General features: G+C 38.3%; 1 annotated feature.

Annotated features, from left to right (window-relative positions):
- Positions 12,675–13,535: an enhancer, noted in NCBI's record as "NANOG hESC enhancer chr1:233723731-233724591 (GRCh37/hg19 assembly coordinates)". NCBI's record gives its function as "activates a minimal SCP1, AML or CMV promoter by ChIP-STARR-seq in naive H9 embryonic stem cells {active_cell/tissue: H9 hESC(naive)}" and the evidence as "EXISTENCE:reporter gene assay evidence [ECO:0000049][PMID:30033119]".

Raw genomic sequence — 14,329 nt, 5'->3', positions numbered from 1 at the left:
CATAAAAAGAAGAGGAAAGAAATTTAGGCAATATAAACAAGCCAAGTCTACTACAGAGAACAAGTGGGAAGTGGAACCTGGAATTTGCCCAGTAGCTTCCATTTTATCTATGAAACAGGAGGGGAGATAATTGCTAAGAGTGATTAAAAAGAGGTTGAGTAGTGGGCTTGAGGAAAGATAAATGGGAGAGAAAACTGACAAGAAACAAAAGAGAATGTTGAGATGTGTTGAGAACACCACTGAGTCAGAGACTGCACATGTGCGGTGGTAATCACCTCTTCTGTTTTGCCATTTTCTTGGTTTTTTTTTTTTTTTTTTTTTTTGACACGAAGTATCACTCTGTTGCCCAGGCTGGAGTGCAGTGGCATGATCTCCGCTCACTGCAACCTCCACCTCCCAGGTTCAAGCAATTCTCCTGCCTCAGCTTCCCAAGTAGCTGGGACTACAGGCACCCACCACCACGCCTGGCTAATTTTTGTATTTTTTTTTAGTAGATACGAGGTTTCACCATATTGGCCAGGCTGGTCTCAAACTCATGACCTCGTGATCTGCCTGCCTCAGCCTCCCAAAGTGCTGGGATTACAGGCGTGAGCCACCGTGCTCAGCCCAGTTTTGCCATTTTCTGCAGCAGATGTCAGTTCTTTGAGTGACATGAAGATAGAGATTTGCTAGGTGAGGGGAAGAGTAAAGGAACTAGTGAATTGAAAGGCCTCTTTAAAAGGAGATTAGTTAAAATAATGGACCACAGTGTCTACACTGCATAGAGAAGGAAATAAAGGCAGTGAAGAGCTAATAAATCAGAAGGAAATGGAAGAATTACACAGCTGCTGGATTCCATGTGGTGGGAGACTGGTTATAGTTGGCAGATGGGAATGAAAGATGAAAAGAGAGGAAGCTGTAGTCGTAGGGGAGAAGACTTAGTTCAGAAGAGAGGGGTGAGTCCTGGGTTATGGCCATCTCTAGCAGTTAGCTATTGCCAAAGTGGAGGGAAGAAAGTCACTAGAGGGGCTGCAAGTCTAGTGTTCTGTTTATCCACGTTGAAGATGCATGACGAAGCCTGGACCGGGAGAGAGGAAGCCAACATGGCAAGAGCAGAAATCTTCAGGGTCTCAAGAATGAGTGGGAGGTTAGTGGATGATAGAGACAGTGGCTGAAAGAAGAAATACTGCGGTCAGAAGTGCCTGGCCAATTGAGGGTCCTTTTACTGAAGAAAGGAAGGGCAATTGTTTGAAAATTGATTCAGGGACTTTAGAAGGATGCGAATCCCATCTGCAGCCCTGAGGGGTAGTCAAATTAGCATCCTCCTCCAAGGGATGCCAGGACTATTCCAGGACAACCGAGCTTCAGGAAGGCAAAGAGGTAGAAGGTATTCTGTGTAGGCGTAGGTGCAGAAGTAGGTGAAATGGATTTGACTAAAGGGTCCCAGAGGGTACATGGAAAACTTTTCATAGGAGAGGAGCCATGGGAACTCTAGTTACAGGAAGCCCAGAAGAAACTGCAGGTGGGAGCAGAGGAGAGGAAGGATACATGGAGAGTTTACATTTTGCAAGGTGAGCAAGACAGAGAAATGCTGCCGCACAGAATGAACTGGTCTCGAGGTTTCAAAGTCAACTGTGGTAGCTTGAATGAAGTGCAGCTGAGGCTCAAGGTTGAGTGGCCCTGGCCACGGTCCACCTGGCTAGCAGGCAGTGTCTTCTGCTAACCCATCCGGTGTCCTCTACCCCCTCACCTAGTCTTCCCCCAGGCCCCACTGGATGCAAGAACAGGGTCATTTTCAACTTCAGGAATAATGTCACCGTAAACCAAACACCAACCTTGGCTGGTCTTTGTTACTATTCCCTTAATGCAGGCTGCACACTAGAAATTTTCATTCTAGATGTCCCAGTCACTTAATTTCAGAGCACTTATTTTTCTTTTAAATACTTTCACTTTTCTCTTTGCCTTTTTTCTTAAATGACTTCACTTTTATTTCATGCTTTAAAGTTTGTAGATCATTTCCATGAAATAATTCATTAGACAAATTCATTATTGTAATTTCATTACAATAACTAAGCAGGCCAGGCAGCATTATTCAATTTCCACAGATGAGTAAACTCAGACTTTGGGAAATCGTTTTTCAAGGGCATCTTTAGTTCAATGCTCTTTGGTTGTCACGAAGGGCCTGTCCTTTGAACTGCAAAGTCACAGCACATACTGACAGAGTTACTCTGAAACATGCAAAACGATTATGATGCCGTTGTGTGATATATTTAAAAATGAAACCTAAGAGTTTAGTAATAATAGCTTCCTGTTACTATTACTTTGTCATCTCTCAAGGACTTTTAAATCACTGAGAAATATATTTGTTCTTTTCTGAAAACCACATGAATGCAGATGACAGCGACAGATAATCAATCACGAGAATGATAAAGTGTGGTGGCTGCGCTGGAAACAATGAGTACGTTTAAAATCTGTTTAAGGTGACAGTTGTCTCTGAAAAATAGGAGTTGATGGGCCTCAGCCAGTGCTTCTAAGATTTTTATCATTCTGAGAGAGTAACTGCCTTTTCAATCCAGATTTTAAAAAGTCAGAAACTTCCTGAATGAGCAACTCTTAGAATGAACTTGGCACTTAACATGTTTGGAGATCTGGGAAGAAGGAAGGTTTTCATGGTTGTTTTCAATCTTATCTAAACATACTTGGCCAGAATTATAAGAAGTAAAAATACCCAAAGTGTTCATCCCTTAAAGCAAAACAGATGTCAATTAGGGATGCAGCATATACATTGTGATCAACTTGTAATGACCCCAAATCTTTATTGGGCTTTTTAGTAAGTATTTTGTATTTTACAGTATTCACCTGACTCATGATATTGTTGTTTTTGTAGGTAGGATGATGGTCTACCTGCAATTACATGGTTCAAAGTAATGTTTATCTAAAATATAAGACAGTTAAAGCTCATTCTTTGATACTCACTCCTCTATGCTACCTGAAAAATATCTTCAGTTCTCCTTCTCAATTTTTTATTCTTTTTTCAAGATAGGTAATCTGTAAGGCTCATACAAACACACATCAAAGATCTGCACCTGGACTCTTTTTTTTTTTTGAGATGGAGTTTCTCTCTTGTCTCCCAGGCTGGAGTGCAATGGCATGATCTAGGCTCACTGCAACCTCAGCCTCCTAGGTTCAAGCAATTCTCCTGCCTAAGCCTCCTCAGGAGCTAGTATTACAGGTGCATCACCATGCCCGGCTAACTTTTGTATTTTTAGTAGAGACGGGGGTTTCACCATGTTGGCCAGGCTGGTCTCGAACTCCTGACCTCAGGTGATATGCCTGCCTCGGCCTTCCAAAGTGCTGGGATTACAGGTGTGAGCCAACGTGCCCAGCCTGCACCTGGACTCTTGATCCTTTGGCTGACATTCCTCTCCACATCTAGATCACACTCCACAGCTCATTTCCTAGAGGAAACCTGTCATCCAGAGAGAAGGGAGAAAACAATTAAGAGACCTAAAAACCTGCCCAAGAAATTCTTAAATCCAGCTATAATCAACTAACACATTATTGCTTTATATTTATTCATCAGCCATAGTCATTTAAGTGTTAAATAAACAATGCAAACTCTGTCCTCTCCTTTAGTTACTTTTTATAGAGTTAAGGGGAACAAGAATAAAATACTCTTCTCCTCCCACCACCACCACCCCAGCATCATATCATACCCAGCTTGAGGGATTTCTTTACATAATCTGAAATGCTATAAATATATACTGTGGTTAGCTGATTCACATAACAAAAAAAAATGATTAAACATGTGTTATGCATCAGGAGACTGATGAAATATCACCATGGAAACTTTGATGCTGAGTTTATACGTGTAAAATTTTCACTTGCAAGATTACAGTTGCAAGTATCTTTGCCCAGATAATTGGGCTTCTTCATCAGAAGCAGGGAATCACCTTCCCATTTTACTAACCACCTACCTTGAACATTAGTCTAAATTGTCAGTATGATTTGTCATTTTTTTCACAGCTGAAGTGACAATAACAATCGTCCTCACATCTGTATTTTTCTATAAAGTTAACAGAGATAATTCACATGAAAGCATGATTATTTGGCCAATATGCATCACCTCAATGCGTGTTATAGTGTTCCTAACAGTGGTTTTATATCTTTCTATCTGTATATATATATATCTCCATTCTTCACCCCAGAATAGTGTACATTCAAGATTTCCAGCAGATTTTGGCATTCCACTTTTGACAATCGATTGACGATTTTCTTTTAAAGAATTTAAATGATGATATGAGGAAAGGAAGACAGGAGACCTGAAGTCAAAATCTCATCAGCCCATGATCAACAAACTCATCTAGTACAGATATTTACATGGGTTGTGCTTTATAATCAACCAACTGACAGAGATTACAACATCTCTGTCATGAGAAGCTTACAAAGAATGCATTATAAGAGTAATATCATTTTCTCCAAATGTTTTAGAAACATTAACAATAAACAGAAATACAACCAATAGGATTTGTAGTTTTTCATATAAGATAATAGCATATTTATGTATGTACAAATATCCTGTATTAAGCGTTAATAAAGTCCTTTATATAACTTAGATATGTATATATATGCATACCTACCTACATCAGTGTCCTTTAATTACACTAATATTAAGCAGAATTCTTCTACTAAATATTTAATGCCAACCAACCACAATCTATTGCATTAAAGTGCATTTGTCCTAAACATGATTTTAATTCATTCTGCAATAATAGTCATATCACTATTATCTATAAACTCCTGTCTGAATTTGTCAAGTCCACAGAAATTTTTAAATAAATGTTATATAGGAACTGGATTTAGACAACCCATGGTTATTATGTGTAAACGTCCTGTTGTGGAAATCTGATAGAAATATAAACAGTGAAAAAGAAAGAAATGACAGCTAGGTCACTACCAAACTGAGTTGAAATTCAGCCAGGCAATTTACTAAATTCAGTCTGTTTTTTATTGTTGTCCTCTTGCTGTCCATTTCAAATTGATTAAATATTTCTTTGAATCCTATACAAATTTTCATTAAAGATACAGTCATAAATAAGAAGCTTACTAATATCTGCTCAGTTTCCAAGTTTTAGCCTGCATTCCACCCTCCCCACAAAAGTTCATTATAGAAAGCTTCTAAAACACAAGAGAAGCCAGGCATGTGGGTTGCACCTGTCACCCCAGCACTTTGGGAGGCTTAGGAGGGAGGTTCACTTGAGGCCAGGAGTTCAAGACCAGCCTGGGAAACAAAGCAAGACCTTGTCTTTGAAATAAATAAATTTTGAAAATGCAAAATAAAACAGAAGACACATGAATACAGAACTGATTAAGGAGCACAAATATATTTCAGCTACATTAAAGATTGTATATAAGTGTATACAGTTATTAGCTTTTTGACAAAGGAGCCAAAGCAATCCAATGGAAAAATAAAGTACTACTAAACAAATGGTACTGAAATATCTAGATATCCTTTTTTTTTTTTTTTTGAGGCAGAGTCTTGCTCTATCACCCAGGCTGGAGTGCAGAGGCATGATCTCAGCTCACTGCAACCTCCGCCTCCCCTCCCAGGTTCAAGCGACTCTCCTGACTCAGCCTCCTGAGTAGCTGGGATTACAGGTGCGTGCCACCATGCCTGACTAATTTTTTGTATTTTTAGTAGAGGCGAGGTTTCAACATGTTGGCCAGGCTGGTCTCAAACTCCTGACCTCGTGATCCCCCCACCACGGCCTCCCAAAGTGCTGGGATTACAGGTGTGAGCCGCAGCGCCCGGCCAATATCCATATTTTTAAAAATGAAGCTCAGTCCGGGTGCGGTGGCTCACGCCTGTAATCCCAATACTTTGGGAGGCTGAGGTGGGTGGATCACGAGGTCAGCAGATCAATACCCTCCTGGCTAACACGGTGAAACCCCGCTCTACTAAAAATACAAAAAAATTAGCTGGGCATGGTGGCAGGCACCTGTCGTCCCAGCTACTCGGGAGGCTGAGGCAGGAGACTGGTGAGATCACGCCACTGCACTCCAGCCTGGGCGACAGAGCAAGACTCTATTTCAAAAAAAAAAAAGAAACTCAACCTCTATCTCTCACCATATACAAAAATAGATTTGAGGTAGATGATATGCCTAAATATAAAAGCTAAAATCATAATGCTTTCAAAGGAAAAGAGGAGAGTCTCTTCATTACTTGCTGTGATCTTTAATTGTATGGATCCACTTGGCTAGGCCACAGTATCTTACCCAGATATTTGGTCAAACACTAGTCTAGATGTTGTTGTGAAGGTATTTTGAGATGAGGTTAAGATTTAAAGCAGTAGACTTTGAGTAAAGCAGATACCCTCCATAATGTGGTAGACCTCATTCAATCAGTTAAAGATCAGTTAAAGGCCTTTAGAATAAAAGATTGAGGTCCGCTGAAGAAGAAATAATTCTACCATTGGACTTGAGCTGCATCAACCCTTCCTTGGGTCTCCAGCCTGCTGGTCTACCCTGCAGATTTTTGTACTTGCCAACCTCTACAATCTTGAAAGCCAATCCCTTAAAATCTCTCTCTTTCTCCCTCTATATGTGTGTGTATATATATACACACACATAATATATATGTATAGGTATTTATGTATATATACACATAATATATGTATGTATTTATGTATATATATACATAATATATGTATATGTATCATGTATATATACACATAATATATGTATATGTATTTATGTATATATACACATAATATATGTATATGTATTATGTATATAATATAATTTATGTATATAATATATGCATATGTATTTATGTATATATACATAATGTATATGCATATGTATTTATGTATATATACATAATGTATATGCATATGTATTTATGTATATATACATAATGTATATGCATATGTATTTATGTATATATACATAATGTATATGCATATGTATTTATGTATATATACATAATGTATATGCATATGTATTTATGTATATATACATAATGTATATGCATATGTATTTATGTATATATACATAATATATATGCATATGTATTTATGTGTATATATACATAATATATATGTATATGTATTATGTATATATATACACAATATATATATACACACACATAAAATGTGTCCCACCAAAGCATAGAAAGAGAGGTAAGAAGTCGTAACGTGTCTGTTGCATTTCATGAATGAATGAATGAATGAAAGAGTAAATGAATTCTGACTAAGAGAGATTTATTTATAAACACAGTACCATTTACATTAGAACCAACAAGAATGAAGTACTTAGAAACAAATTAAACAACATATATATATACACACACGCACGCATACACACACGTGCACATATACGCACACACACACCCTATTTGTTCTGTTTCTCTGGAGAATCTAGATAATACATTCAGGGATAGACAAAAGTTTCCTAGGTCATAGAAAGCAATAACCATAAAATAAAAGTAAAAACTAAAAAAATTTAAAATTATACTTCATAAAAATTAAAACTTTTGTTCATCAAAAGCCACTGTGTAAGAAACTATGAAAGCTACCACTGTTAAGAAGCTAGGCAAGCTATCGATAAGGGTAAAATGTTCACAAGATGTAATATCTGGCAAAGAACCGACATCTAAATACGTAAAGAAATCCCACGAATCAATAATAAAATAACAACCCAATAAAAACATCCAAATGATTGTAGCAGACATTTCACAAAAGAAGATGTACAGATAGCCAATAAGCACAGAAAAAATGTTCAATATCATTAGTCATCAAGAAAATGCAAATTACAACTATAATGAGCTATCACTTGACGCCCACCAGAATAGCTAAAATTAAGAAGACCCACATGTTGGCAAGAACCTAAAGCAAACATTGTTGGTGGAACTTTAAAATGGCACAACCACTTTGGAAAAAGGTCTGGAAGTCTCCTATAAAACTAAACTCACAGTTAACCTATGGGCATAAGCCATTTCATTCCAGGAGAAATGAAAATATATGCTCCCCCGCCAAAGACTTTGGTAAGAATCTTCATAGCAGGCTTATTTATATAACAGCTAAAATTGGGAACCACACAGGTATCCATTAATAAGAGAATGAATAAATAAACTCAATTGCCCACACACTGGAATACTACTCGGCAATGTGAAGGAAAAGAGAGATGGCTGATACACAAGACAGCATGGGAAGACGAAAGGAAAATTAACAGGGAAGGGGAATGAGAGAACTTTCTGTGGTGATGATAATCTTCTATATCGTGACAGGGGTTTAGATTACACTCATGTATAAGGTTGTCAAAACTCAGCAAAGCAGGCTGGGCATAGTGGGTCACGAAAAAAGAACAAATAAACTCCCCATTACACTTTATTGGAAAATATTATCTGTTTTTCCTAATTCTCTCTTAATCGTCACTAGCCCTTTAATTAAACATTGCTTTTAGTTTTTAAATGTGAATTTGAGAATGTTGACAATTTTCCTAATTTAACTTAAATTGGAGAAAACGCAGAGTTTTGCTTTAGAACTAGTGAATACACTATTTTGTGTTTTCTAATGTGTCCCACCAGGGCATAGAAAGAGAGGTAAGAAATCATAACATGTGTTTGTTGCATTTCATGAATGAATGAATGAAAGAGTAAATGAATTCTGACTAAAAGAGATTTATTTATAAACACAGTACCATTTACATTAGAACCAACAAGAATGAAATACTTAGAAACAAATTAAACAAAATATGTATACACTGTGTATGAGGAAAACTATAAAACTGTTAAAAGGAATCAAGTTTCTAAGAAATGGAATAAATGGTATTCTATGTTCATGGCTAGGAAGACTCAATATTGTTAAGATCAGTTTTTCTCAACTTGATCTATAGATTCAATGCAACCCCAATCAAATCCCCAGCAAGTTATTTTCTGGACATCAACAAACTAATTTTAAAGTTTATATGGATAAGCAAAAGACCTGGAGTAGCCAACGTAATACTAAAGAATAAAGAGAAAAGTTGGAGAAGTTACACTTTAACTTTACACTTTAACACTTACTATAAAGCTCTGATGATCAAGATAATATGGGTATTGGTGAAAGAATAGACAAATAGATCAATGGAACAGAACAGAGTCCAGAAATAAAACCACAAAATTATAAGTCAATTGATCTTTGACAAAGAAGAAAAGGTAAGGCACCAGAGAAAGAATAATCTTCTAGTTCTGTACAAGAACAACTGGACATCCACATGTAGAAAAAAATTAATCTAGACACTGACCTTATACCTGCCACAAAATTCTCTCAAAATGGATCATAGATCTATAATGATAATTTATGTAAATGTTTTAATACTGTTGAGATCATTATAAAGCAAAATATAAACCTTCAAGAAGACAACACAGGAGAAAAACCTATGGGACCTTGGGTTTGGTGATAGTTCTTACTATAACACCAAAAGCAGGATCTATGAAAGAAAAAATTGCTCATTTGCACTTTGCTGAAATCAAAACTTTCTGCTATGTGAAAGACACTATTAAGAAAATGAAAAGACAGACCTGGCATGGTGGTTCACACCTGCAATCTCAACACTCTGGGAGGCCAGGGCAGGAGGATTGTTTGAGCCCATGATTTTGAGACCAGCCTGGGCAATATAGTGGGACCCAATTTCTACAAAGAAAATGAAAAGACAAATCACAGGTTAGAATGAATTATTGCAGAATACATTTATCTTTCTATTTTTCTATCTCTCCTGGGGATCAAGGGGTTTTCTGATGTAAGGCTGATGGTGCCTTCTGTGGGAAGAAAAATGTCCTGTGTCCAATTCATGTCTTAAGAGAGACAGTCCATGAGTTTTGCTGGGACAGAGGCTTTAATGTCCGGGGTAAAACAGTCTCTGACACAGGGGGCAAAGTCACCTTCAGTGGCGAGATCTTGTGTTGGGATGATGTTTTCTGAGGTGATCTCCATCATCTCCAGTGGTGAGATTTTGGGCCAGGATGTCGCTGTCTGAGATGTGGGACTAGGATATCCTTTTCAAGTGGGTACCCACTTGAGTTGACACAGGCCTCACCAATGGCCATGTTTGGTTGAAACAATGGGGTACAGGAGGGTTGGGATCTCTGGATTGTAACCAATAAAAGCACCCAAACCAGTATTAATAAGACCAACAGTTAATAAAATGGTGGGTAACTGCACCCAAAAAGGTATTTTTGTTTGTTTGTTTGTTTTTGGTGGAAGTTTCGGTTCAAATGGGTCTCATACTAGATGAGCAGCTGTCTGACCTGTGAGACAATCTGTGGTTATTGAGTCCCTCTATCTGGCCTCCAGGCCTTATGGGATGGGAATAAAATATAAATTCATTTTAAATAATAGGTTAAGGCCTGGGGCAAGATAGATAACTTTGGGAGTTTATCTGTTGTATTGGAATTTGAAAAAGTTGTTTGAGGAGATTATTATGTCCCTCTGTTAAACCAGTTACCTGGGACCAATTAGGGATATGGAAGTTCTATTGAACACCTTTTGTAAGAGCCCAGTATTGATTCATTGAGTATTCCAAGAAGTAAAATGTGATCTTGGTTACCACCAGTATTTTCTGTAACTTTGAATGGAATAAGGCTTGCACTAGGAAGGCCTTAATATATGTGGAGATGTGATTTTGCTTTCTATTTTTAGTGTCTGTGAGGCAAGAGATTCCCAGAGTTTTTTTTACCTTAAAGGGGATAGTTTTCAAGTAACAGCTCAACAGTTTATAATAAATGGGAAGATAGGCCATTTGTTGACCAGGGCATCCAGTGCTAAGATGACTGCCTGAAGTTTGATCAAATGTGTTGTTTCTTGGGTCCCATCCTTTATCAGGGACATCCTGGTTAAGCAATGGAAAGCAGCCACATTCCACTAAGCTCCATGTGTATGATGGTTAACAGTGACATTTGCATTGTCTACCAATTCCCATTACTGTTCACTCAGTTAATCCCAAGGGGCTTTGCAGGTGATCAAGGGCTCTGGGGGAAGGGTGACTCCCTCCAATACCCTGGCATCTGGTAAGAGACTAAATTAAAGGAAGCCACACCCTTCTGCAGGTAGAATATGTCCTGGAGCCTAGGTTTGGCTGCATCCTGTCTTAAGAAGGTTTTGGTGGCCATGCCTAGCTTGTGGGGTGCTGTTTCCATGACCCAAAGCACAATGGACAGTGGGGCATGGAGGGCCTTAGGCTCAGGGTCTGTGAAAAAACTCTATTTCCAGGAAAGCTCCTAAGTGGCCAGCCATTTATTTTAATGGTGCATAGCATGAGGCTGAGAGGGACAATTTTCTTTTCTTTTCTTTTTTTTTTTTTTTTGCATCAGGAGCCTTGGGGCCACTAATGGCCATAATGCAGGGTTTAGAGACTCCAGGAGGCCCAGAAGAGATTACCAATGCCTCTACAGTGAAGGAGTGTTTTTTGTGAAGGCACTAAGAGGAGTGCCTGTTGATCTTAACTTATAAGTAAAGTTTGTAAATAAAGAAGATGTTACCACCAGAACCCAAAAGTACTAAGGGATATTGGGCTTATGTTTTTAGTGAGTGCATCAAATATACCTCCTTGCAACAGGATGTCATCGACGACTTAGTGTCCTGCCTGTGCTCTTGGAGAAGGTGAATGTCACTGAGATCTTGTTTGTAAAGATTGTGTGGAATGGCAAGGCTGCTGCAGTACTCCATGGATGGCCTGGAAAAGCTGTATTATGTCCCTTAGGAGGTGGAGACAAACCGCAGCTGAAAGGCTGTTGAACTGAATAGAACATGTTAGCCAATCTATAGAGCAAAATATTTACTGGTAGTTGATTGAATAGAATCAATAATTTTAATAATACTGGACATTGGGTATAGGGCCCTAATGGATAGGACCACAGCATTAACGTTGTAGTAATCCATCTTAAGGCACTTATTATTTTTCCCAGTTCGAGAACAGGCAAAATTCAAATGGACAAGCAGTGGAGATAATTACCTCTTAATTAATTAAGTTTTATATGTATACTGTTTTAATCCTTGGAGGTCTTGTTTTAACTTACATTGGGCCGTATTAACTATTTTAATTGGGAGTGCACAGGGTCCTGTTTTATGAAGCCAATTTGTAAATGCCAAAAAGTTAATTTTAATTTATTAGTCATTATGTTAGAACATCTCTGCCCAATATGGCATATCTTAGAGCAATGGGTACTATGACTATGAGAAATTTAGGCAAGGCTACGGGTAAAGTGAGGCATATCCACTTTTGTCTATATTATGGTTAGTTACCCTGTTAAAATTAAGCACTGTGTTTAAACATTTAGTGGGATCCGCAGGTATAATTATAACTCAAGTTCCAACACTGATTAAGTCCACGAACTTTTGTCAATCAGTGCATTTTGGCAAATGTTGAAGTTAAGTTAGAAACTATGTTGTATAGATACATAAGTCAATCAGAGCTTCTTAAAATCATTTTTGTTACATAAATTATTGAGTGTATAAATTTACTATATAAATTTTGGATTTCTCGTTTAATAATTAGAGAACTTTGTTTCAATTTACCTATATATTATATATACATATACAGAATTTATCATATATTTATACTAAAATATTTTGTATATGTATATATGATTGATTTAATTACCTTTTATCCTCCCCCCCATATCTAAGGGTTTGTTTACAAACCAGTAAATAATCTAGGGTTAGCATTGCATTCTATGTGCTAGACCTCGCATTTGCTTGGTAGAAAATGTTTTAAGTTTCCTTTTTTTTTTTAATCCTTGGACTTGTAGCTTTGTTGTTGTTTGGGAGATTGCTGTTGTTTTAGGCTTTTAAATCTGGAAGCAGCAATTTTGGTTTCTGTCTCTGGTTGATGAGAGGAAAAGAGTGGTAAGCAGCCGGGTGCCTCTAGGCAGTAGCCTCTTCTTGGGATGCCAGTAAACACCAGATTATCACTCCCTTTCTCTCCTTTTTCTTTTAAATAAAACCTTAATGGCCTGTGTTTAGAAGCGGCTGAAATGTTTTTCCTCTCTCTTCTGATGTTTACCTGACAAGCTCCTGGTGGTCCAGAGTGGCCCCTGCTGCGAGTTAATTAGGGTCGTAATTAAGGTCCCTTAGAGTCAGGGAGAAAGCAAAGGAAGGCGGCGCAGAGAGATTGTTATCGGCGACGTGCCAGGACCTCTCTCGGTGCTGCCTCACTAACGCAGTGGGCAGTCAGACTGTGATGTCCCTCTTGCGATCTGCTCAGCCTCTGCACTGATCCAGTGCACCCCCAGGCACAGGTTACCCCTCTCCAGGCACAGGTTACCCCTCTCCGCCTCTCGGTGACAAGCCATTCACCTGAGTGAGACCTTCAAAATACAGTCAATTTCACTGTGATTGGTACTTCTCATTAAGGGGAGTGATAGCAATCATTGTGTCCCCTCTTGCGGTGCTAAGGCTGTCAAGTGGTAGGTCCCAGGAAGGACTCGGACTTTCTAGGACCCACCCAGCTGAGGGAGGGGAGTTTTGGCAGCGCTCAAAAACAACAGGCTGTCAAAGCTGCTAACATACTTAAGCTTTATGAACTTAGGGATTTTCCTCCTCCTCCTCCTCTCTCTCTTCCATCTTTATTCATTGCTGTATCCTCAAAGCCTGGGATGGTACATGGCAAATAGTAACCACTTGATCCTTCATCCTTCAGTGGAAGAATTCCATTCTGAAACTATGACCAAATCTTCAGTGCTGTCCATAACTTGGTTCTAGAAGTTCAATTCTAGTAAATAATATTTATATTATTATGATTTTGTAAATACTGTTCACGGCAGGACCAAGGAGTATGCTAGCATAATGTTTCATTCTCTAAGAGACCAATGTTAGGATCCCAGAACCACTTAAAGAAAAATGTTTATTACATCAGTGGATTTTATTTTATTATACTCCGTCAGTTACATACAACTAGGCCACATTTCAGTTTGCTTTCTATTTGGACAAGTGGGTTTTTTTCACTATAGTTTTTGTTATCCTGAAGTTTTTCATTATTCTTCCACCTTGCATTAAGTACCTTTATTATAAAAAGTTTTTCTATCCTTTCAATCACACTACGTGTTGTTCTGGGGAGTGACATTTTCCCTGGCAATCCCTCTGGTGCTCCGGTCTTCCTACTCCAAACAGCGCTGGTGAATCTTTAGCTCTGCAGCACAGTGTTCACTCTGAGACTTTGCTGCTTTCCTGGCAGAAACCCCTGTTCCTGGTACCCCATACCTTCCACTTTCCGGGGTGATTTTCTAGTGCTCTAGAGTACATCTTCAGGTAGCTCCCAAAGAAAAGAGAAAGAATGAGAGGTTAACTCAAATGTGTGAAAATATCTTTAGTTC

Source organism: Homo sapiens, chromosome 1, assembly GCF_000001405.40.
Source record: "Homo sapiens chromosome 1, GRCh38.p14 Primary Assembly".
Classification (NCBI taxonomy): Eukaryota; Metazoa; Chordata; class Mammalia; order Primates; family Hominidae; genus Homo; species Homo sapiens.
The sequence above is the reverse complement of the archived record's forward strand: the minus strand, read 5'-3'. Positions and strand labels throughout refer to the sequence as shown.